This window comes from Homo sapiens, chromosome X, assembly GCF_000001405.40.
Source record: "Homo sapiens chromosome X, GRCh38.p14 Primary Assembly".
Classification (NCBI taxonomy): Eukaryota; Metazoa; Chordata; class Mammalia; order Primates; family Hominidae; genus Homo; species Homo sapiens.
This window is the reverse complement of record NC_000023.11, coordinates 103,412,014-103,433,494: the sequence shown is the minus strand read 5'-3', so window position 1 is coordinate 103,433,494 and position 21,481 is coordinate 103,412,014. Positions and strand designations below refer to the sequence as shown.

The 21,481-nt window shown below is 42.1% G+C and overlaps 1 long non-coding RNA gene across 7 annotated transcripts in view, besides 2 other annotated features; it reads right to left on the bottom strand.

Annotated features, from left to right (window-relative positions):
- The window catches only part of LL0XNC01-250H12.3 (uncharacterized), a 113,164-nt gene that overhangs the window by 84,449 nt on the left and 7,234 nt on the right, over positions 1–21,481 (bottom strand). The window lies entirely within an intron of this gene.
- Positions 8,775–9,276: an enhancer, noted in NCBI's record as "NANOG hESC enhancer chrX:102679147-102679648 (GRCh37/hg19 assembly coordinates)". NCBI's record gives its function as "activates a minimal SCP1, AML or CMV promoter by ChIP-STARR-seq in naive H9 embryonic stem cells {active_cell/tissue: H9 hESC(naive)}" and the evidence as "EXISTENCE:reporter gene assay evidence [ECO:0000049][PMID:30033119]".
- Positions 16,978–17,178: a silencer, noted in NCBI's record as "peak7415 fragment used in MPRA reporter construct". NCBI's record gives its function as "represses an SCP1 promoter by STARR-seq MPRAs in K562 erythroleukemia cells {active_cell/tissue: K562}" and the evidence as "EXISTENCE:reporter gene assay evidence [ECO:0000049][PMID:32103011]".

The following is a 21,481-nucleotide window of genomic DNA, read 5'->3' as shown; positions in this document are numbered from 1 at the left end:
CTCCTCCACCTGCCCAACAATTTCCTCTTAAAAAGGTGGCTCAAGTTAAAGGCACAGTCAAGGTTAATGCTCCTTTTTCTTTATCCGACCTCTCCCAAATCAGTTAGCATTTAGGCTCTTTTTCATCAAATATAAAAACCCAGCCCAGTTCATGGCTCGTTTGGCAGCAACCCTGAGACGCTTTAGAGCCCTAGACCCTAAAAGGTCAAAAGGCCATCTTATTCTCAATATACATTTTATTACCCAATCTGCTCCCGACATTAAATAAAACTCTAAAAATCAAATTCCGGACCTCAAACCCCACAACAGGACTTAATTAACCTTGCCTTCAAGGTATACAATAATACAATAGAGGCAGCCAAGTAGCAACATATTTCTGAGTTGCAATTCCTTGCCTCCACTGTGGGAGAAACCCCAGCCACATCTCCAGCACACAAGAACTTCCAAACGCCTAAACCACAGCGGCCAGGCATTCCTCCAGGACCACCTCCCCCAGGAACTTGCTTCAAGTGCCAGAAATCTGGCCATTGGGCCAAGGAATGCCCACAGCCCAGGATTCCTCCTAAGCCGTGTCCCATCTGTATGGGACCCCACTGGAAATCAGACTGTCCAACTCACCCAGCAGCCACTCCCAGAGCCCCTGGAACTCTGGCCCAAGGCTCTCTGACTGACTCCTTCCCAGATCTTCTTGACTTAGTGGCTAAAGACTGATGCTGCCCGATCGCCTCAGAAGCCTACAGGAACCATCACAGATGCTTTAGATAACTCTCACAGTGGAGGGTAAGTCCGTACCCTTCTTAATCAATATGGAGGCTACCCACTCCATATTACCTTCTTTTCAAGGGCCTGTTTCCTTTGCCTCCATAACTGTTGTGGGTATTGATGGCCAGGCTTCGAAACCTCTTAAAACTCCCCAACTCTGGTGTCAACTTAGACAATACTCTTTTAAGCACTCCTTTTTATTTATCCCCACCTGCCCAGCTCCCTTATTAGGTCAAAACATTTTAACTAAATTATCTGCTTCCCTGACTATTCCTAGGCTACAGCCACACCTCATTACCACCTTTTCCCCGAGTTCAAAGCCTCCTTCACATCCTCTCCTTGTATCTCCCCACCTTAATCCACAAGTATAGGACACCTCTACTCCCTTAGTGATGGATGATGCACCCCTTACCATCCCATTAAAACCTAATCACCCTTATCCCGCTCAATGCCAATATCCCATCCCACAGCACACTTTAAAAGGATTAAAGCCTGTTATCATTTGCCTGTTACAGCATGGCCTTTTAAAGCCTATAAACTCTCCTTACAATTCCCCCATTTTACCTGTCCTAAAACCAGACAAGCCTCACAGGTTAGTTCAGTATCTGCACCTTATCAACCAAATTGTTTTGCCTATCCACCCCATGGTGCCAAACCCATATAGTCTCCTATCTTCAATACCTCCCTCCACAACCCATTATTCTGTTCTGGATCTCAAACATGCTTTCTTTACGATTCCTTTGCACCCTTCATCCCAGCCACTCTTCGCTTTCACTTGGACTGACCCTGACACCCTTCAGCCTCAGCAACTTACCTGGGTGTACTGCCACAAGGCTTCACAGACGGCCCCCATTACTTCAGTCAAGCCCAAATTTCTTCCTCATCTGTTACCTATCTTGGCATAATTCTCATGAAAACACACATGCTCTCCCTGCTGATCGTGTCTGGCTAATCTCCCAAACCCCAATCCCTTCTACAAAACAACAACTCCTTTCCTTCCTAGGCATGGTTAGGTACTTCCGCCTTTGGATACCTAGTTTTACCACCCTGACTAAACCATTATATAAACTCACAAAAGCACCCCACAGATCCTAAATCCTTTCACCACTCCTTTCAGTTCCTTAAAAACAGCCCTAGAAACTGCCCCCACACTTGCTCTCCCTGACTCATCCCAACCCTTTTCATTACAAACAGCCAAAGTGCAGGGCTGTGCAGTTGGAATTCTTACACACAGACCGGGACCACGCCCTGTAGACTTTTTATATAAACAACTTGACCTTACTGTTTTACCCTAGCCCTCATGTCTGCGTGCGGCGGCTGCCGCTGCCTTAATACTTTTAGAGGCCCTCAAAATCACAAACTATGCTCAACTCACTCTCTACAGTTCTCAAAACTTCCCAAATCTATTTTCTTCCTCACACCTGACGCATATACTTTCTGCCCCCCACCACCTCTCAGCAAGCCAAACTCATTGCCTTAACTCGAGCCCTCGCTCTTGCAAAAGGACTATGCATCAATATTTATACTGACTCTAAATATGCCTTCCATATCCTACACCACCATGCTGTTATATGGGGAAAAAAAATTTCCTCACTATGCAAGAGTCCTCCATCATTAATGCCCTCTTTAATAAAAGCTTTTCTCAAAGCGGCTTTACTTCCAAAGGAAGCTAGACTCATTCACTGCAAGGGCCATCAAAAGGCATCAGATCCCATCGCTCAGGACAACGCTTATGCTGATAAGGTAGCTAAAAAAACAGCCATCAAAAGGCATCAGATCCATTGCTCAGGACAATACTTATGCTGATAAGATAGCTAAAAAAGCAACTAGCGTTCCAACTTCTATCCCTCATGGCAGTTTTTCTCCTTCTCATCTGGCCACTCCTACCTACTCCCCCACTAAAACTTCCACCTATCAATCTCTTCCCACACAAGGCAAATGGTTCTTAGACCAAGGAAAATATCTCCTTCCAGCCTCACAGGCCCATTCTATTCTGTCGTCATTTCATAACCTCTTCCTTGTAGGTTACAAGCTGCTAGCCCGCCTCTTAGAACCTCTCATTTCCTTTCCATCGTGAAAATCTATGCTCAAAGAAATCACTTCTCAGTGTTTCATCTGCTATTCTACTACTCCTCAGGAATTTCTCAGGCCCCCTCCCTTCCCTACACATCAAGCTCGGGGATTTGCCCCTGCCCAGGACTGGCAAATTGACTTTACTCACATGCCTCAAGTCAGGAAACTAAAATACCTCTTGGTCTAGGTAGACACTTTCACTGGATGGGTACAGGCCTTTCCCACAGGGTCTGAGAAGGCCACCACAGTCATTTCTTCCCTTCTATCAGACATAATTCCTCAGTTTAGCCTTCCCACCTCTATACAGTCCGATAATGGACCGGCCTTTATTAGTCAAATCACCCAAGCAGTTTCTCAGGCTCCTGGTATTCAGTAAAACCTTTATATCCCTTACCATCCTCAATCTTCAGGAAAGGTAAAACAGACGAGTAGTCTTTTAAAAACACACCTCACCAAGCTCAGCCACCAACTTAAAAAGGACTGGACAATACTTTTACCACTTTCCCTTCTCAGAATTCGGGCCTGTCCTCAGAATGCTACAGGGTACAGCCCATTTGAGCTCCTGTATGGATGCTCCTTTTTACTAGGCCCCAGTCTCATTCCAGACACCAGCCCAACTTGGACTGTGCCCCAAAAAACTTGTCATCCCTACTATCTTCTGTCTAGTCATAATCCTATTCACCGTTCTCAACTACTCATAAATGCCCTGCTCTTTACACTGCAGGTTTACACTGTTTCTCCAAGCCATCGCAGCTAATATCTCCTGGTGCTATCCCCAAACCGCCACTCTTAACTCTTAAAGTAAATAAATAATCTTTGCTGGCAGTGCTATGCTGAACCTCCTTAGGCACTCTCTAATTAGATGTCCTGGGTCTTCCCAATTCTTAGTCCTTTAATACCTGTTTTTCTCCTTCTCCTATTCCGTTTAGTTTTTCAATTCATACAAAACCGTATCCAGGCCATCACCAATAATTCTATACGACAAATGTTTCTTCTAACAACCCCACAATATCACCCCTTACCACAAAATCTTCCTTCAGCTTAATCTCTCCCACTCTAGGTTCCCACACTGCCCCTAATCCCGCTCGAAGCAGGCCTTAGAAACATCGCCCATTATCTCTCCATACCATCCCCCAAAATTTTCACCACCCCAACACTTTACCACTATTTCGTTTTATTTTTCTTATTAATATAAGAAGACAGGAATGCCAGGCCTCTGAGCCCAAGCTAAGCCATCATATCCCCTGTGACCTGCACATATACATCCAGATGGCCTTAAGTAACTGAAGAATCACAAAAGAAGTGAAAATGGCCTGTTCCTGCCTTAACTGATGACATTACCTTGTGAAATTCCTTCTCCTGGCTCAATCTGGCTCAAAAGCTCCCCCACTGAGCACCTTGTGACCCCCGCCCCCACCCGCCAAAGAACAATCCCCTTTGACTGTAATTTTCCTTTACCTACCTAAATCCCATAAAACGGCCCCAACCCTATCTCCCTTTGCTGACTCTCTTTTCGGACTCAGCCCGCCTGCACCCAGGTGAAATGAAAAGCTTTATTGCTCACACAAAGCCTGTTTGGTGGTCTCTTCACACGGACGCAAGTGAAAGGTTGAAAACTGGTTCTTGAGGGTAGAGGGATGGTAGATATTACAATGGTTTGTGGTATTACAAAGACCATAGTATATAAATAGTTACACTTCATCTGTGGTATTAAAATTTCATGTTCTGGGCAGAAAGGGTATATAAGAAAAAACATGTCCAAAAGGGCCTCCATCAAGAAGATGATTAAAGAAGGTTGAGAAGCACTGCATATACCCAGTGACCTCTTGTGTAGATGATAGGCTATGAGGGCTTAGGGACTGGTCATTTTACAATCTCCCATGGGTACTCACTCAACAAACCTTCTTAGTGATGACGGTTGGAATGAAATACGCAGCCTGGGGTCAAGAATCCTGGGAATGGGGACCACATGAATTGACTGGCTTTTAAGGTGGGAAGCAAAGGGACTCAGTCAGGAAAACAGGTTTTTCCTCTGGAACAGATAACATGAAGGTAGGAAATCAATGTTGACAAAACTAATACAAGCAAGAAGTACCATAAGCTGTATCTCCTTTAATCTTATCATTTATTCAAGTAATCTATTATTAAATATACTTTAGATCAGGCTATAGGAAATTAGGAGAGGTTCAATAAATCAGAGAAACTGCTTTGTTAATGCCTGCTCAGTAATAGATTCTGGAATTTCACTAAAGCTTTTCCTGTTGAGCCCTGAAGCCACCAGGAATCTGAGTTCTCTAATCTCCCTGAGCACTCACATGTAAAGCTGCTCAGGGTACTCCTTAATTTATTTATATAATAAGCTATATTTTAAATTATAATATTGAAAATTTTAAAACATTGTATATGACACAAGAAATCATTAAAGTTGTCTGTGCAGGCTATAGCAAACACTTGCAAATTATATGGGGCTGATGCTCATAATATATGAAGCATTCTTAGTAACCAATATGGAGAGAGGCTCTAATGATGACATTGGTAGATAGCCTCTAAGACTTCCCCCCAGTGATTGTCACCTCCAGATAGTCACTTCCTTGTGCAATCTGTCCCATCTTTGGGCTGGAGTTAGTGACTTGCTACTAGTAGACAGAATATGTGAGAGGAGATGGATGTCATTTTTCACATTAAATGACTAAGGCTGTGTCTTGCTTGTTGGGTACATTCTTATTCTTGCACTAAGGAGAGCCAGCTGCCATGTCGTGGGCTACCCACATGGCAAGTAATCTATGTCCCTGGCTAAGAAGCAATCGGGCTCTGAGGCCTGCCCACAGCCATATGAATGAGCTTGGAATTGAATCGTCCCTCAGTTGAGACTTGAGATGCCTGCAGCCCCTACCTAGACCTTGACTGCAGCCTTGTGAGAGGCCCTGAGCTAGAATCTTATCCATGCCATTATTCCTAACCCAAATAAATGGTGTGAATTAATGTATATTTGTTATAAGCAGTGAAATTGTGGGGAAATTTGTTATGTAAGAATAGATAAATAATACAGATATACACAGATAATTCATGTAAAAAGCAATACACATGCCCAAGAAATATTTGAAAACACATTCACTAATGAAATGCAAATTAAAACTTATACAGAAGCTATTTTTGATGAAAAGGGGCAAGTTGCAAAGCCACATGAATAGTTAGAAGCCCCATAGAAGGGCAGGACTCCTGACCTCAGATCAGAGAGCCATGGGACTCACCTTTCCTGAATGCTGGTACTTTTTCATCTCATGTATTTTCTGGGGGGTAGGGAATACGATTGCTACACTGTTTTGTAGCTGAAGAAACAATGTATGGGGAGGTTAAGTAACCTGGCTGAGGGTCATCCTGCTACTAAGTGGAAAAGTAGAGACTGGTATCCTATATGTCCTTGTGCAGACTGTGTGACTCTCAGCTGCACATCACACCATAACCAAGTAAATCTTGCTTTCCTACTGATCCAAGATGGAAATCCATGAATTACCAGCACATATTTCACACATCATGCTTCCATACATACATACATACATACATACATTCATACAGGTAACAGGCATTAAGGACAAACTGTACACCATTTCTTTGGTTAAGTTTTAGACTTCTCCAGAATGGAAGCTATCTTACAACTTTAACTTTTAGATAATGACAGCATTGCAATATAATCCTTGTCTGTACACAAGCAGATGAATTCTGCCTTGGAAAACAAAAATGTTGTCTCCATTTGAACGTTCATTTCAGTACCCTTGATCTATATAAAGCATCAAAGATGTGGTTGTTGACTTTGACAAGGTTCATTTCAGTAGAAGGGTGGGGGAACAAAGTACCATTAGAGTGGAGTGACAACTGAGTTGGGGGAAGATGTAGAGGGATATGAGTTGAGAATTGATAATTTTTGTAGAACTTTGGTTACAAGGAAGAGAATATATATAAAGAGGGTAGTAACTAGAGATGTAGAGAGAGGTCCAGGGCATTAAATTATGTGTTACAATCATCAATTGTAAGAGACTTTATGAGGCTGAAATATTAATAGGAATGAACCATCTTTTGTTAGATCTGACATCTGAATTTACTGCACCACCCTTTCCACACTTTATTTGCTTGATCCATTCTGGAGACTCTGATGACATGAAGGCTGTGCTATAGAACATTGTGCTTTCAAATGAAGCACACATTTTCCCCTACACCCCATACTTTGGCTTCAGTGAAAGGAATTTTGTGAGTAGGTTTACTGAATGATAACAATAATTTTTCATGATCACTTCAATAACCTCAATCTTATCTGTTTTTATTTCTTTCTGAAGGGATTTCCAAGTATGCAAATCAATAATCTGAAATTATAATGTGTCATATTTGTCTGGTTAAATGTATCACCTACAAACCCTGTCTAATATACTACAATTAGATGATATGATAGTGTTGAAATATTATGATAGTGATAGGGTACTCTTTTGTGGGTTCCTCACTCTTAAGTCAAAATACTTATACTGCATCACAGAAATCATAATGCCAGATTTTCTTTTGGAATGAATCCATTCAGTAAATAACCCAATCTATATAATAAATATACATATATGTATACTTACAGAAGTAAACGTGTAAATTAATAAAGAAATAGGTGTGAGGAGACAAATTGTCTTTATCAAATAATTCCAAATAGTACACATAGATACCCTCCCTCTATGAAGTGAAGCTTAATTCCACCTCCCATCACCTGATGACAGGACAGACTTAGTAACTCACTTATATAGAATAAAAGTAGGCAAATGGAAAACAGTTGCTGTACACTGGAGAAACTTGGCAAATACTGCCTTAACCAAGTGATTAAGGTTAATATCACCAGTGAGGTGAGATGGGTATCATGTACTACCAGAAATGAAGTGACAAGAAGGGCACTTCAATGCTGGTATTTTTTCTCAGAACGCATTACCTCAGTATAATCAGAAAAAAAAAATCTAAGTCTATACCCCTCATCACTGTCAGAATCATGAAAACAGTTTAGCAGTTTTTCAAATGGAAAAACAGGGAGTTACCATATGGCCCAGTAATTCCTTTCCTACCCAAGATGAATCTCTACATAAAAATGTGTACACAAATGTATGTAGAATCATTATTCATAATAGCCAAAAGGTGGAAATAACCAGAGTGTTCATCAATAGGTGAATAAATAAACAAAATGGACCAGGCACGGTGGCTCACGCCTGTAATCCCAACACTTTGGGAGGCCGAGGCAGGTGGATCACAAGGTCAGGAGTTCAAGACCAGCCTGGCCAACATGGTGAAACCCCATCTCTACTAAAAACACACAAAAAAATTAGCTGTGCATGATAGCACACACCTGTGGTCCCAGTTACTTGGGAGGATGAGGCAGAAGAATCACTTGTAACTGGGAGGCAGAGGTTGCAGTGAGCTGAGATTGTACCACTGCACTCCAGCCTGGGCGATGGAGCAATACTCCATCTCAAAATAAATAAATAAATAAATAAATAAATAAATAAACAAATAAACAAAATGTGGTGTATCTATGCAATAGAATATTTTTAAGCTATTAGTTGGAATGGAATTCTGACCCATGGTACATTATGGAGGAACCTTGAACACATTATAATAAGTAAAAGATGCCAGACACAAAATACCAAACATTAATTGATTCAATTTATATAAAATCTCCAGAACTGGCAAATGCATAGACAGAAAATATATCTGTGATTGCATAGGGCTGGGTGTGTGTGCAGGGATTAACTACATTCAAGCATAATGGGATTCTTGGGGATGATGAAAACATATAAAAACCCAATTATGGTGATGGTTGTACAACTCTATACATTTGGTAAAAATAATCTAAATATCCTTAAAATGTGTGATGTTATGATTTGTAAGCTATAGTCTGATGAAGGTGTTTAAAATATGATATTGGGTAGGAGGCAGAGCAATGTGGCTAAACAGAAGCCTCCACCAGTTGTCCTCCCTGCGGGAACACCAAATTTGACAACTATCTACACAAGAAAGCACCTTCATAAGAACCAAAAATCAGGTGAGTGATCATATTACCTGGTTTTAACATCATATCACTGAAAGAGGTATTGAAGAGGGAAAGAAAGACGGTCTTGAATTGCTGATGCCACCCCTCCCCCACTCCCTGGCAGCAGCTGTGAAGCCTGGAGAATCTGTGTGCTTGGGGGAGGGAGAGCACAGTGATTGTGGGACTTTGCATTGGAACCCAGTGCTACACTGTCAGAGCAGAAAGCAGCATTGGGCAGAACTCAACCAATGCTCACGGAGGGAGCATTTAGACCAGCCCTAGCTAGAAGGGAATTACCCATCCCATCAGTCAGAGCATGAATTTCGGCCAAGCCTTGCCACTGTGGGCTAAAGTGCTTGGGGGTCCAAAAGAAACTTAAAAGGCAATCTAGACCTGGAGGACTTGGGGGACATGTGACCCAGTGAGACACCAGCCAGGTGTGCTTGTGCCACCCCTCCTCCAACCCCAGGCAGTGTAGCTCTCAGCTCTGAAAGAGAATCCTTTCTGCTTGAGGAAAGGAGAGAAAAGAGTACAGGGGACTTTGTCTTGAAACTTGGATACCAGCTCAGCCACAGGAAAGGACACTGGGCAGAGTACTGTGGCACCCATTCCAGGCCCTAGCTCCTGAACATTTCTAGACACACCCTGGGCCAGAAGGGAACTTTCTGCCTTGAATGGATGCACTCAGTCCAGGAAGCATTCATCACCTGCTGACTAAAGAGTCCTTGGGCCCTGAATAATCAGCAACAGTAGCCTAGTACACACTGGGGGCTTTGGGTGAGACTCTTGAGATGTGCTGACATCAGGTGTGACCCAGCACTTCCCTGCTGTAGTGGCCATGAGGAGAGACTCCTTCTGTTTGAGAAAAGCAGAGGGAAAAGTAAAGGGGACTTTGCCTTGCAGCTTAGGTACCAGCTCTGCCACAGCAGGGCAGAGCACCAGGTAGGCTCTTGAGGTCCCAGATTCCTGGCCTTGGCTTTGATGGCATTTCTGGTCCTGCCCTGAACCAAAGGGGAGCTCACTGACCTGAACGGTAAGTCCCAAGCCTGGCAGCATGCAGCACAAGCTGACAGACGAGCCCTTGGGCCTTAACTGAACAATGTCGGTAGCCTGGCAATATCACCTGTGGGTCTGCAGTGGTGGTGGCCACAGGGAGAGAGTCCTCTGCCTGTGGAAAGGGGAGTGAAGAATGGGATGAATTTTGTCTTGTTGCTTGCGTGCCAGTTCAGCCACAATAGAATGGAGCATCACATAGATTTCTAAGGTTTCTGACTCCAGGCTCTGGCTCCTGGATGGCATTTCTGGACCTGCTCGGGATCAGGGGAACTCCCTGCTATGAAGGGAAGGACATACACCTAGCTGGCTTCACTGTCTGCTGACTGTAGTGCCTTAGGAAATTGAGTGAACATAGGCAGTAGCCAGGTAGTGGTTTGGGTGAGACCCAGTGCTATGCTGGCTTCATATCTGACTCAGCACAGTCCCAGTGGTGTAGGCCACCAGAATGCTTGTGTTACTTCTCCACCAGCTCCATGGACTCAGCACAGAGAGAGAGAGAGACTCTATTTGTTTAGGAGAAAGTAAGGGAAGGAAACAAGAGTCTCTGCCTGGTAATCTAGAGAATTCTTCTGGATCTTATTCAAGAACACCAAAGCAGTACCTCTAAGAGTCTGCAAGAACCACAGTATTACTTGGCTTGGGGTGAGTCCCAATGCAGATATGGCTGCAGTGACCAAAAACTTAGATCACAACATTCAAGGCTCTTCAAATACCTGGAAAGCCTTCCCAAGAAAGATGGGCACAAACAAGCATATACTGCAAACATAAGAATAAAATAATAGGTTTCAAGATTTTATTTGAAAGTCTCATGGTAACCTTAAACCAAAAGTCATACAATGGATACACAAAAAAATAAAAGATAAGAAATTAAAACATAACACCAAGGAAAATAACCTTCACTAAAAGGAAGACAGGAAGGAAGGAAAGAAGGAAGAAAAGACCACAAAATAACCAGAAAACAAATAAGAAAAAGGCAGAAGTAAGTCCTTACTTATCAATAATAACATTGAATGTAAATGGACTAAACTCTTCAATCAAAGACATAGAATGGCTGAATAGATTTAAAAACAAGACCCAAGGATCGTTGTCTGCAAGAAATACACTTCACCTATAAAGACACACACAGGCTGAAAATAAAGGGATGGAAAAAGATATTCTATGCCAACAGAAACCAAAAAAGAGCAAGAATAGCAATACTTACATCTAACAAAATAGATTTCAAGATGAAAATTACAAAAAGAGACAAAGATGGTCATTATATAATTATACATAATTCAATTCAGCAAGAGGATATAACAACCATAAATATATATGCACTCAACACTGAAGTACCTAGATATATAAAGCAAATATTACTAGAGCTAAAGGAAGTGATAGACCCCAATACAACAATAGCTGGAGACTTCAACTCTCCTCTTTCAGCATTGAACAGATCACCCAGACAGAAAATCAACAAAGAAACACTGGACTTAATCTGCACTACAGACTAAATTAACCTAATTGATATTTACAGAACACTTCATCCAATGACTTTAGAATGTACAATTTTCTCCTTAGCGCATGAATCATTCTCAAGCAAAGACGATACATTAGGCCACAAAACAAGTCTTAAACATTCAAAAAAATCCAAATAATATCAAGTATATTCTCTGATCACAATGGAATAAAACTAGAAATCAATGGCAAGAGGAATTTTGGAGACTACGAATACATGGAAATTAAACAATATGTTCCCAAATGAACAGTATGTCAAGAAAGAAATTAAGAAGGACATTGAAAAATTTCTTGAAACAGATGATAATGGAAACACAGAATGTCAAAACATATGGAATACAGCAAAAGCAGTACTAAGAGGAAAGCTTACAGTTAAAAAGTGCCTACATCAAAAAAGAAGAAAAACATCAAATAAACAACCTAATGATGCATCTTAAAGAACAAGAAAGTCAAGAGCAAACCAAATCTAAAATTAGTAGAAAAAAGAAATAACAGGCCAGGTGTAGTGGCTCACGCGTGTAATCTCAGAACTGTGGGAGGCTGAGGTGGGCGGATCACCTGAGCTCAGGAGTTTGAGACCAACCTGGGCAACATGGCAAAACCCTGTCCCTACAAAAAAATACAAAATTAGCTGGGCATGGTGGCACATGCCTGTAGTCCCAGCTAGTCAGGCGGCTGAGGCAGGAGGATCACTTGAGCCTGGGAGACGGAGGTTGGAGTGAGCTGAGATCGTGCCACTGCACTCCAGCCTGGGTGACAGAGAGACACCCTGTCTCAAAAAAAAAAAAAAAAGCAAGCAAGCAAGCAAGCAATAATAAAGATCACATCAGAAACAAATGAAATTGAAATGAAGAAAACTACAAAATGTCAATGAACAAAAGGTTGTTTTTTAAAAAAGATAAAACAAAATGGACAAACCTTGAGCCAGATTAAGAAAAAAGAGAGAAGACCCAAATAAATAAAATAAGAAACGAAAAATGAGACACTACAAATGATAGGGCAAAAATTCAAAGGATCACTAGAGGCTACTATGAGCAACTATATGCTAATAAATTGGAAAACCTAGAAAAATAGATAAATACCTAGACACATACAACCTACCAAGAGTGAACCATGAAGAAATCCAAAACCTGAAATGACCAATAAGAAGTAACAAGCCATTTTGGAGAGTGCAAGCCACCATAAGCCTTGGCAGCTTCCACATGGTGTTAAGTCTGTGGGCACATGGAATACAAGAGTTAAGGAGGCTTGGAAGCTTCCCCCTAGATTTCAGAAAATGTATTAGAAAGCCTGAGTGCCTAGGCAGAAGCCTGCCACAGGGGCAGAGCCCCCAGTATAGAAACTCTACTAGGACAGTGTGGAGGAGAAATATGGGGTTGGAGACCCAACACAGAGTCCCCAATGGGGCACTGCCTAGTGGAGCTGTGAAAAGGGGGCCACTGCCCTGCAGACCCCAGAACGGTAGAGCCATGGACAGCTCATATCCTGAGCCTGGAGAAGTCACAGGCAGTCAAGTCCAACCCATGAGATCAGCCACGGGGCTACAACCTGCAAAGCCTAATACACCAAGCATCTAAACAGAAAGTGATATGGTTGAGTGGAAAGAGACTGCTACCTTGGGAAACTGAGGCACTTTGTAACCCATGCCTCTGCCTGCTTGCATACTGCTAAAGGGCTACTACCTGCTCCTGACCTACCTCACTCATGAGGGCAAATCCCTCATGAATGTCTTGGTGCTGTCCTTGCAATAGTGAGTGAGTTCTCATGAGATTTGTTTGTTTAAAAGTGTGTGGTACCTCCCTCATCTCTTTCTTGCTCCAACTACTGCCGTGTGACATGCCTCCTCCCACTCTGCCTTTCACCATGACTGTAAGCTTCCTGAGGCCCTCACCAGAAGCCAAGCAGATGTTGATGCCATGCTTGTACAGCCTGCAGAACTGTGAGCACCTTTTCTTTATAAATTACCCAGCCTTGGCCAGGCGCAGTGACTCACGCCTGTAATCCCAGCACTTTGGGAGGCTGAGGCGGGCGGATCACGAGATCAGGAGATCGAGACCATCCTGGCTAACACGGTGAAAGCCCGTCTCTACTAAAAATACAAAAAATTAGCCGGGCATGGTGGCGGGCGCCTGTAGTCCCAGCTACTCCGGAGGCTGAGGCAGGAGAATGGCGTGAACCCGGGAGGCGGAGCTTGCAGTGAGCCGAGATCGCGCCACTGCACTCCAGCCTGGGCGACAGAGCGAGACTCCGTCTCAAAATAAATAAATAAATAAAATAAAATAAAACAAAAAATAAAAATAAATTACTCAGCCTCAGGTATGTCTTTATAGCAACACAAGTATGGTCTAATACACCCAGCATCTAAATAGAAAATGATATGGTTGAGTGGAAAGAGACTGCTACCTTGGGAAACTGAGGCACCTTGTAACCCGTGCCTCTGTCTGCTTGCCTAGGGCTAAAGGGCTACTACTACCTGCTCCTGACCTACCTCACTCATAGAGAGGAAAGGGCAAGGCAACACTTGTGTGCTTACAGTCTTAGTTCTTCTCACAAGTAGAAAGTAGAAGTTTTACTTTCTCCGTTTCTCTTCACTGTGTCAGAGTGGTATGTTTCTGAACTTGTTTTGAGTCTGCCTGATCCCTAAGGGAGTGATTTTTTCCATTTAGTCATTTGAGGTGTCCATCTGAGGTGACATGGAGTTTCTGCTTCATGTAAGAACTCCTCTCCTTCGCTGAGGGACTGGACCCAGAGCCACAGGAGATAGGAGTAAAGACCAAGTTCTCAAAGACAAGCACAGGATTAGGACCCCAGTCTGAACATCAAACTCTCCTGACTTAGCAAAATGGTTTTCACAGATTTCTCACATGATGTTTACTCCCTGCAGAGTTCCTCTTAGAGAGACTGTGAGGAAACAGGCATTGTCATGCATTGCTAGAAGTAATTTCAAATGGTACATCCCCTGTGGAAGGAATTTGATGCTATTTAATAGAATGACATAGGCATTAATTCTTGGAACCAGCAATCTCTTTCCTAAGAATCTATTCCAAAGATATAATGCAAATAGACAAACAGGCATAAACACAAGGCCATTCCTGGCAGAACAATTCATAACAGCAGAAGATTAGATATAAGACAGATGTCCACCAATAGAAGGCTGATTGAGTAATCTAAGGTACTTCCTAGAGTACCATGCATGTATAAAAGGCAACAAAGATCCCTTCTCTACACTGCTATGGATTGACCTCCAGGACATATTATAAATGAAAAATGCAGTGCAAAAAAATGGAGAGAGCTGTTGTTGTTCAATATGGTGGTCACTAGCTACATGTAGCCATTTAATTTTAATAAATAAATTCAAATAAAATTATAAACTCATACCTCACTCATACTCACCATGTTTCAGGTGCTCAACAGCCTCAGGTAAACTAGTGGCTACTGTGTTGGACAGTGCAGATACAGACAATTTTCATCAATGCAGAAATTTCCATTGGATAGTGGTGGTGTAGAATATGCCACCTTCTACTTGTGTCAGGGAGGAAATAAATACACACATCACATTTGCTTATATTTTTAAAAACTGGAAGATTAAAACAAAAACTGGTAAAAATGATTTATCTATAAGGGCATAGAGGAGCAATTCAGGATGGAAGCCAAGATGTGTATCATCTTCAAAATATAATGCATAATTACTGGCTATGTACACTAAAAAAGCAACAAACTACAAGCAGTTGATTAGTACCCAGATTGAGTCCTCTAAAAATATTCCCCATGAAAAGAAATCAGGCTCTCTCAGAGAGACAGATGATTCCAGGTCTGGGGTCAGGATTGTATCAGATAAGCCTGGACCAAATTATCCTACCAGAAAGCATGTCAAAAAGATTCAGAAACCAAACTGAGGAGGCTCTCACTGGACAAAAATGAAACAATTTGAACATCAAAGAGATTAGTGACTGCAATGGTTTAAAACATATTAAATACAGGAACATCTCTGAGTCACAAGAAAAGAAAAACAAAACACGAAAAATACCAACTCTCTACTCATCTTTGGAAGCTCCTATGGAAACAGCTATTCGTTCTAAAAAGTGAAAATACTGCAAAAGAATTAAACATTCATCCTTCACTTCTTGTGTGCTCCATACCTCAGTGAATCCTAATAGTTGACGGCATGGGGCAAGTTATGTTATAGGAAACACCCAGCTAATAAATGCAGAATAAATTGTAAAATTACAACATCACCATTTTGCAACTTCTAATGAAATATAGCTCTAGACAACAATCTTCAGAAAGTGGAAAAAACCCTGAGGAGAAAAACACATGGAAAGTGTTATAATGGATGGATTGGGCTGACAAAATCTGAGCCCAGTGATCAACCTGAACTTCACAGTAGAGGAGATAAACAGACACAATGAGGCTCCTGCTGCGCTATTACCTAAATGTTTGTGTCCCACCACCACCCCCAGTTTATATGTTAAAAGCCTAATCTCCAATGTGATGGTGTTTGGGGATGGGGCCTTTGAAAGGAATTGGGTCATGAGGACACAGCCCTCATGATGAGATTAGTGCCCTTGTAATAAAAGACATGAGAGCTTGTTTCCTTTCCACATGCACACACCAAGGAAAGGCCATGTGAGGACTAGGCAGGGGGCCCTTAACCTGAATCCAACCATGCTGGCACCCTGATCTCAGACTTGCAGCCTCCAGACCCATGAGAAATACATACTTGTTGTTTGATACGGTTTGGATTTGTGTCCTCACCCAAATCTCATGTTGAATTGTAATCCCCAATGTTGGAAGAGGGGCCTGGTGGGAGGTGATTGGATCTTGGGGGCATACTTCCCCCTTGTTGTTCTCATGATAGGGAATGAGTTCTCACAAGATCTGGTTGAATAAAAGTATGTGGCACTTCCCCCTTCACTCTCTTCCTCCTTCTTTGACCATGTAAAATGTGCCTGCTTCCCCTTCGCCTTCTGCCAGGATTATAAGTTTCCTGAGTTTCCCAGCCATGCCTCCTGTATAGCCTGCAGGACTGTGAGTCAATTAAACCTCTTTTCTTTATAAATTATCTAGTCTCAGGTAGTTTTTTATAGCAATGTGAGTATGGACTAATAAACTATTTAACCCACCACTGTATGGTAACTTGTTACAGCAGCCTGAAGTGACTAAGATACCTGTGAGGCTATAAGAAGGACAGTCATGTGCTGCATAACAATGTTTTGGTCAACTCCAGAACACATATGTAACAGCAGTCCCATAAGATATAATGGAGCCAAAAAATTCCTATCACCTACTCACGTTGCTGTCCTAACTGTCATATCACAATATATTCTTCACATGTTTGTGAAGAATATATTGATGCTGGTGTAAGCAAACCTACTGCACTGCCAGTTGTATAAAAGTATAGCACATGCAATTATGTACAGTACATAATACTTATTAATGATAATAAATGACTGTTACTGGTTTATGTATTTACTACACTTTTTATTGTTATTTTAGAATGTATTCCTTCTACCTATTAAAAAAAGTAAACTATAAAACAGCCTCATGCAGGTCCTTCAAAAGGTATTCCAGAAGAAGGTATTGTTATCTTAGGAGATGACAGCTTTATGTGTGCTATTGTCCCTTAAGACCTCCCAGTGGGACAAGACTGGTGGTGGAAGACAGTGATAGTGATGATCCTGACCCTGTATAGGCCTAGACTAATGTGTGTGTTTGTGTCTTAGTTTTTAACCCAAAAGTTTAAAAAGTAAATATAAATAAATAAGTAAATATAAATATAAATAAATAAGTAAAAGAAAGGTAACAGAATAAGGATATAAAGAAATAAAATATTTTTGCATATCTGTACAATGTATGTTTTTAGTTAAGTGTTATTACAAAATAAAAAAGTTTAAAAACGTTAAAAGTTTATAAAGTTAAAAAGTTACGGTAAGCTGAGGTTAATTTATTATTGAAGAAAAAAATACTATTTTATAAATGTAATGTAGCCTAATTGTACAGTGTTTGTAAAATCTACAGTAGTGCACAGTAATGTCCTAAGCCTTCATATTCACTCACCACTCACTCACAGACTCACGTAGAGCACCTTCAAGTCCTGCAAGTGACCAATACACATGTATAGATATATACATTTTTAATCTTTTATATCATATTTTTACTGTACTTTTTCTATGTTTAGATATGCTTAGATACATAAATACTGACCTTTGTGCTACAGTTCCCTAGATTATTCAATACAGTAACATGCTGTATAGCCTAAGTAGGTAGTAGGTTACACCATCTAGGTTTGTGTAAGTGCACTCTATGATGTTCACACAATGACAAAATCTCCTAATGATGTATTTCTCAGAATGTATCTCTGTGGTTAAGTGACACATGACTGTACATAATGCCACATCTAAGACACCCTTGTCAAAAAAATTTGAATAGGATTAAGTTTTTAACTCTAATTACCTTTTACTTTAACTCTAATTACCAATTTAAAGGAAACTGAGTAACATGAACAACTCAATAGGGATACAATCAGCAAAACTGAGAATGTAAACTCCAGCACCTTAAGCAAATAAATTGGAAAGTTAAAAAGAGAGAGAAAGGATCTTGTCTATATTAAAAGAAACTTAAAACTTGAGAGAAAATTAAATCAAACAGAAATTAAAACAGAAAAATGAGATACTATATACTATCACACATCCATCAGAACAACAAAAGCTACCAAGGTATACCAAGTGTCAGCGAGGATGTAGAGCAGTGAAACTATGACACTGCTGATACAAATATAAATTAGAATAACCACTTTGAAAACTGCTTAGCTGTATATGCTGAGCTGAACATACACATACCCTATGACTCAGAAATTCTATTCTTAGGCCGAGGACCGGTACATGCATATGAAAAATGAAAATAAATGTCCAATCAAAGATACGCAGAGAAATAAAAAAGGGCGCAAGATGGCCGACTAGATACAGCCAGGGGGAATGTCTCCCACAAAGGGACAGGGCATCAGGAAGACTAGCACACTCCTAGCAGATCTTGAGGGAAGGCATTGAGAGCAGACAGAAGGGAGATACAGATACTGGGTGGAAGCAGGAGGAAGCTGGGAACGCTGCTCAGGGCTACCATACACCAGGTCATTCCTGGTCCCCAGTGACTCCTGGGGAAGGGGTTGAACAGGCAAGGAGCAACCCACTCTCGCCACGGGCCTCTGGAATCCCTGCAGGAGAAGACCCCTTGACCACCATGGACACTTGAATTGGCAGTGAGAGCTACTCAGAGAACTGGCAGGGGCAGAACTCCAGCTGGAGTGGAGCCCAGAGAGTTTGGTACAGGAGCATCTGTAGTGGAGCATGGCCATGGTTGCCCATCTCCCTAGGCTTGACTCACTCCTATAGAAGACTTTAGCCTTAGGGGAACTGTCGGACCTGAACGCTGCAGGGCAATCGTGCCCATAAGACACGGCTGGTCTGACCTGAACACCCCTCAGTCTGTTGGCCTCTCCTGGGGCCCCAGCCTGGTCATGCCTGCTTGCAGTGCAGCCCCCAGGTATCTCCTGTGGGCCCATGTCATAGCCCCTGCGCTAGCAGACTGCTCCTGACTGGCAGAGTGCTCCAGCAGAGAAAAGCAGCCCCAGTGGACTCGCTCCAGCCCACCTGCATCCTCCCCCGACTGCAGCCTCCCCAATGCAGCTTTGCCTGCACACTCGCCCATGGCCACCCTCTACATTGCTTTGCTGTTGTGTGTGTGCATCAGCAGATGCAGCCTTCCCTCCCTCACCAGCACATGTGTGCATGTGCAGTCTGCAATGCAACTGCTGCTGACTGAGTACACCCTACCCCTCCCCCTGCCTCCCTCCTCCTGCCACATCGCCATTGTTGTCGGAGCATTGGCAGGCACGGAGCCCGCCAGCCTCCTCCCTGCCAGCACCAAAATTGCTGTTAGCATAAAACTAGGCATGGAGAAAAGCAGACCCACACCTGCCCTGAGTGGCCACTGCCACCCACGGGAACTTGTACAGAGAGTGCAAACACCACCACCAGCATGAAGGTGTGCACAGTCACTGGCTGGGGCCCCATCCCCCTGAGCCATGCTGTCAATGCCAGCTGCTGCTGCAAATGCATGCATGAAGGCTGACACCCTGGCATCCATTAGCACCCTGTTGCAGCCAAGCAGTGTGCATCTTACCACAGTGCAGCTGCAGCTGCTACTGGCATGTGTGAACAAGGACGGATTCCACTGCCACCATGCTACAAAGTGTTTGCAGATGACATGATCCTATATCTAGAAAACCCCATAGTCTTGGCCCAAAAGCTCCTTAAGCTGATAAACAATGTCGGCAAAGTCTCAATATCCAAAATCAACATATAAAAATTGAAGGCTGGGTGCAGTGGCTCATGCCTGTAATCCCAGTACTTTGGGAGGCAGAGGCGGGCAGATGACTTGAGGTCAGGAGTTCAAGACCAGCCTAGCCAACATGGTAAAACCCCATCTCTACTAAAAATACAAAAATTAGCCAGGCATGGTGGCGTGTGCCTGTGAACCCAGCTACTCAGAAGGCTGAGGAAGAAGAATCACTTGAACCTGGGAGGTGGAGGTTGCAGTGAGCCGAGATCATGCCACCGCACTCCAGGCTGGGTGACAGAGCGAGACTCTGTCTCAAAAAAAAAAAAAAAAATCGCTAGCATTCCTATACACCAACAACAACCAAGCCTAGAGCCAAATGAGGACACAATCCCATTCCCAATTGCCACAAAAAGAATAAAATACCTAGGAATATGGCTAACCAGGGAGGTTAAAAAAAAAAATCTCTACAGTGGGAATTACGAAACATTGCTCAAAGAAACCAGAGATGACAAACAAATGGAAAAACATTCCATGCTCATGGACAGGAAAAATTAATATCATGAAAATGGTCACACTGCCCAAAGCAATTGACAAGTTCAATGCTATTCCTATCAAACTACCAATGACATTCTTCACAGAACTAGAAAAAACTACTTTAAAATCCATATGGAACCCCAAAGAGCCCAAATAGCCAAGGAAATCCTAAGCAAAAAGAATAAAGTAGGAGGCATCACACTCCCCAACTTCAAACTATACTACAGGGCTACAGCAACCAAAACAGCATATTAGTGGTACAAAAACAGACATATAGACTAATGGAACAGAATAGAGAGCTCAGAAATAAGGTTGCACACCTACAACCATATGATCTTTTGAGAAAGTTGACAAAAACAAGCAAAGGGACTCCCTATGCAATAAGTGGTGCTGGGATACCCTTATGCAGAAGATTGAAACTGGATTCCTTCCTTACACTATATACAAAAATCAACTCAAGATGGATTAAAGACTTAAATGTAAAACCCAACACTATAGAAATCCTAGAAGACAACCTAGGCAATACTATTCTGGACATAGGAATGGGCAAACATTTCATGACGAAGACATCAAAACAACTGCAATAAAAGCAAAAGTTGACAGATGGAATCTAGTTAAACTAAAGAGCTTCTGCACAGCAAAAGAGACTATCAACAGAGTAAACAGACAACCTACAGAATGGGAGAAAATATCTGCCAACTATGCATCTGACATAAGTCTAATATCCAGCATCTATAAAGAACTTAAACAAATTTACAAGAAAAAAACAACTCCATTAAAAAGTGGGCAAAGGACATGAACAGTTTTCGAAAGAAGACATATATGTGGCCAACAAGCATATGAATAAAAGCTCAATATTACTGATCATTAGAGAAATGCAATCAAAACCACAATGAGATACCATCTCCAACAGTCAGATGGCTATTATTAAAAATTACAAAATAACAGATGCTGGCAAGGTTGCAGAGAAACGAGAATGCTTATACACTGTTGGCGGGAGGGTAAATTCGTTCAACCATTGTGGAAAGCAGTGTGATGATTCCTCAAAGAGTAGAAAACAGAACTACCATTCAACCCAGCAATTCCATTACTGGGTATACACCCAAAGGAATATAAATTGTTCTGTCATAAAGACACATGCTACTTGCAGCAGTATTCACAATAGCCAAGACATGG